The sequence below is a fragment of the Homo sapiens genome, chromosome 3 (genome assembly GCF_000001405.40).
Source record: "Homo sapiens chromosome 3, GRCh38.p14 Primary Assembly".
NCBI classification, from domain to species: Eukaryota; Metazoa; Chordata; class Mammalia; order Primates; family Hominidae; genus Homo; species Homo sapiens.
In genome coordinates, this window is record NC_000003.12 from 89585792 (window position 1) to 89590331 (window position 4540).

A 4540-nucleotide genomic window follows, 5' to 3' on the forward strand; every position below is an offset into this window, starting at 1 on the left:
GTTATTAGTGGTCCTGCCTGGGTTGGGTTTCTGTACTTTGCATTAGCTTTTACTTTTCAACATGAAAACCACCACATTAGTCCCATTATGTATTTATAGCTCTCTATTTTGAGTTATCCTTGCCAAGACAGTAAGCCCTTCCTTTACCTCTGGATTCAACAGCATAAAAAACTAATGTGACTGAAAGACAGGTGAACAACTCAGCTTCCTTTTCAATTGAGCCTTTGTTGTTTCCATTGGTGAAAACATTCTGATGTCAAGCAGAGTCTGAGGTGGCTGGTAAAGAGGACAGGCTGGCATACGTAGTATAGATTATCTTATCTACTTGATTATTGAGAGCCTCCTATGCATCCTGTTGGTGAGTATGCAATTAATTTGTGCCTTTACAAAAGGTCCATTCTAATATTTCTACTCCAGAACATGTCACTAGTGTTGTTGTTTTTTCCTCTAAAATTCAGCCAAATCATTAGTCACTGCCCATGAAATTATGTAGATATGTGTCTCTGGCCATTTCTTTCAGACAGTGAACACTCAAAATTAATGTTTAAAGTTCTGCTGACTGGGAGGATTACTTATACTATTACCTCCTAGGGCCACTGCCGAATGAATAAGGCAACAGTTTAGTAAATACACACGCATCAGTCACAGTGATGACTATCAATAAGTAACCACAAATGCTTCTTTGGGTAAAATCATTCTCACTACTATTCCAATCATGCTATAGTAACAAAGCTTATCTTGTTTCTGAAGGTGAAGTATTGTCATTGTTCTTTGCTTCTCAAAGACTCTATTATTCCCCACTGGATTCAGGAAGCTGTTTTCAATGGTGGCATCTTACACTGTAATTTGTGGCCTAAACATAATTGTTTTTAATAACGTAGGTACTCTTTTTATCTCTGTAAAGAGAAGCTTAAAATCCTCAGTCAGAGAAGGAAGGCTTCTTCTACAGGAAAAGACACAAATTAATTGGATACTCACCAACAGGATGCATAGGAGGCCCTCAATAATCTGGTAGATAAGATAACCTATATTATGTATAGGTTAAAAGAGTGATAGAGTTAAAGTGAAATCACATGGCCAGGCCAGATGTCATTAGGAGAGCTGAGAGAGCTCCTCTTAGTGGTCAGGGGCTGGGTTTGACTATATAGTAGGCATGTGTTTGGTGTGTCATTATGTGTTATCATATAGATAAAGGCCTACTAGCAGTGTAAAGACATAAGCCTGAATAAGGGCTATGGCAAATTTGAGAATGGTCAGTAGGATTAGAATAATGAGAGCGATTGAAGCTGTGGGAAGACTAATAGTTGACAATGCTAGTGTGGCTCCTCTGATTAAATGTATTAGTAGGTGTCCGGCTGTAATTTTGGCTGTTAATTGCACAGCTAACACCATTGGTTGAATGAATAGGCTAATAGTTTCAGTGATCACTAGTATAGGGATAAGTGGCATAGGTGTGCCTTGTGGTAAAAAGTGAGCTAAGGAGACTTTTGTTTTAAAGCAGAAGCCTGTAATTACTGTGCCTGCTCATAAGGGGATTGCTATACCTAGATTTTTTGATAATTGGATAGTTGGTGTAAATGAATGGGGTAGAAGCCTGAGGAGATTGGTTAAGGCAATGAAGAGTATTAGGGAGATCACTATAAGGGATCAGGTTCGTCCTTTAATGTTATGGGTAATTATTATGTGTTTTAGTACAAGTTGAACTAATCTTTGTTGAATGGAAATCAATCGGTTACTAATTAGATGAATGGAGGTTGGAAATAGTATGGTGGGGAATAAAATGATTAATACTACTTCAGGTAGACCTAGAATTGTCAGGGTAGTAAAAGAGGTGAATAGATTTTCATTCATTTTAATTATCAGGGGGCTTTGTGTTTTGTATTTTGATTATTTTTGGTGTAGGGGGTATATGATAATTGGAATTTGATCATTTTAACTGAATAAATGGAGAATAAAGTTATCATTGTTGACAGGATAACATGGATCATGTAGAAGTATCTAGTTGAGGCATTCACTGCAGAGAGGTATAGATCACCTCAGTCTTCAACTTAAAAGGTTAATGCTTGGTAGCTTTACAGTTGTATTATAGTGTGGATATGGATCAGGTTTCGAAGTATTTTAAGGAGATTAATTCAAAGACAATAGGTATAAAACTGTGATTAGACCTACAAATTTCTGAGCACTGTCCATAATAAAGGCCTGGTCATGTAGCAGTCAAGGTAGTTTGATTTAAGCGTCCAGGGATTGCATCTGTTTTGAGGCCCAGTGAGGTGATAGTTCATGAGTGCAGGGCATCTTCAGATGAGATTAATATACAGATGGGGATCTCTACTGGGAGAGTTGTTTGGTTATCAACTTCTAGGAGGTGAAATTCTCCTGACTTTAAGTCTGCTCTTGGGACTATGTAAGAATCAAAGCCTAATTCTTCAGTCTGTATGTTCATAGCTTCAATATCATTTGCTTTGACGGTAAGAGAAGGGTTGTTAAGCTCATCTGTTATGTACAGAATACGTAAGGATGGGAGGGCAATTAAAATTAAGATAATGGCAGGTAAGACAGTTCAGACATCCTCGGTTTCTCGGGCATCTATGGTGCTAGTATGAGTTAATTTTGTTCTGAGTATTAGGGAGATAAATAGAGAGGACCAGGGAACTAATTAAGAACTAATTAATTAAGAACTAATTAAGAAAATATAAGAGTGTGGTCATGGAAAGTGAGCAGTTCTTCTATAATAGGGGATGTAGCGTCTCAAAGGCCTACTTGAAATGGATGAGCCATTAAGACCTACAGGATTTACCTATAAATTAACTTTTACAAAGTTATGTAATGATTTTACTAGTATCTTATCGAGAAAGTCATAGAGGTTATGGGATTGTCTTGAAACCAGTTTCTGGGGATTCAATTCCTTCCTTTCTCGTTTAGGTTTTCACGTAGGTTGGCTCTTCGAATGTGTGGTAAGGTGGTGGACGGCCGTAAAGCCACTCTAAATTAGTAGATGAATGTTCAATTGTTAGAACTTTTTGTTTTATAAAGATTATTAGTATAACTGCTGTTAGTGAGATAAATGAGCCTACAGATGAGAGAATATTTCATGTGGCGGATGCATCAGGATAATCGGAGTAATACCAGGGCATACCGATAGGCCGAGGAAGTGCCATGGGAAAACGGTTACATTAACACCTGTAAGTACAAAGGTGAAGTGGATTTTAGCGTAGGTCTGATTAAGTATATAACCTGAAAATTGGGGGAATCAGTGGACAAAGCCTCCTTGATGGCGAATACCTCTCCTATTGATAGGACATAGTGGAAATGGGCTACAACATAATACGTATCATGTAAGACAGTATCAAGTGATGAATTAGCTAGTACAATGCAGGCTAGACCTCCTGCTGTGAAAAGGAAGATGAATCCCAGGGCTCAGAATATTGTGGGAGATAATTTGATGTTACTGCCATGCAGTGTAGCTAATCAGCTAAATATTTTGACGCCAGTAGGGATAGCAATAATTATGGTAGTGGACGTGAAGTATGCTCTGTGTCTATGTCTATTCCTATTGTAAATATATGGTGAGCCCATACGATAAGTCCTAAGATGCCAATTGATATAATGGCTCACACTATGCCCATATACCCAAATGATTCCCTTTTTCCAGAATAATATGTTACGAACGGGAGATTATCTCGAAGCCTGACAGGAGAAGGATATACACTTCAGGGTTACCAAAGAATCAGAATAAATGTTGATACAAGATAAGGTCACCCCCTCCAGCAGGGTCAAAAAAAGTAGTGTTGAGGTCACAGTCAATTAATAGCACAATAATGTCGGCAGCTATAGGACTGGAAGAGAAAGGAGTAGAAGGACTGCCATAATGAGGACTGATCAGATGAAAAGTGGTGTTTGATATGGCTGGGGGTTTTATGTTAATGACTGTGGTAATAAAGTTAATGGCCCCTAAAATAGAAGAAACCCCTGCCCAGTGGAGTGAGAAGATGGTCAGATCCACAGAGGCTCCTGCATGTGCTAGGTTTCCCCTAAAGAGGGATGAACTGTTCAGCTGGTTCCAGCACCGGCTTCTACTATTGAGGATGAAAGTAGGAGTAGAACAGACGGAGGGGGAAGTTAAAAGCTCATATTATTTATCCGAGGGAATGCCGTATCGGGTGCACCAATTATCAGCGGGACTAGCCAGTTGCCGAAACCCCCAATTATGATTAGTATTACCATAAAGAAGAGTATGATGAATGCGTGGGCGGTAACAATAACATTGTAGATCTGATCATCTCCTAGCAGAGTTCCTGGTTGGCCTTGGTTTGTTTGAAGAATGACATTTTCTAGGGCTAAAAGAGTTCCATAAACTAGGTGGTTTGCACAACAGAAATTTATTGTCTCACAGTTCTGGAACCTAAAAGTCCAAGATCAAGCTATCAACAGGGTTGGTTTCTTCTGAAGGCTGTGAGAATCTGTTCCATGCCTCTCTATTAGCTTGTGGTGGTTTGCTGGCAATCTTCATGCTCCTTGGCTTGTAGATGCATCACTCTGA

At 39.0% G+C, this 4540-nt stretch overlaps 5 pseudogenes; 2 read left to right on the forward strand and 3 right to left on the reverse strand.

Moving 5' to 3' along the window:
• Nucleotides 1044-1171, forward strand: MTCO3P6 (MT-CO3 pseudogene 6; annotated as a pseudogene).
• On the reverse strand, nt 1171-1851 carry LOC124906249 (ATP synthase subunit a-like; annotated as a pseudogene).
• On the forward strand, nt 1175-1851 carry MTATP6P6 (MT-ATP6 pseudogene 6; annotated as a pseudogene).
• MTCO2P6 (MT-CO2 pseudogene 6) lies at nt 2095-2779 on the reverse strand (annotated as a pseudogene).
• MTCO1P6 (MT-CO1 pseudogene 6) lies at nt 2923-4306 on the reverse strand (annotated as a pseudogene).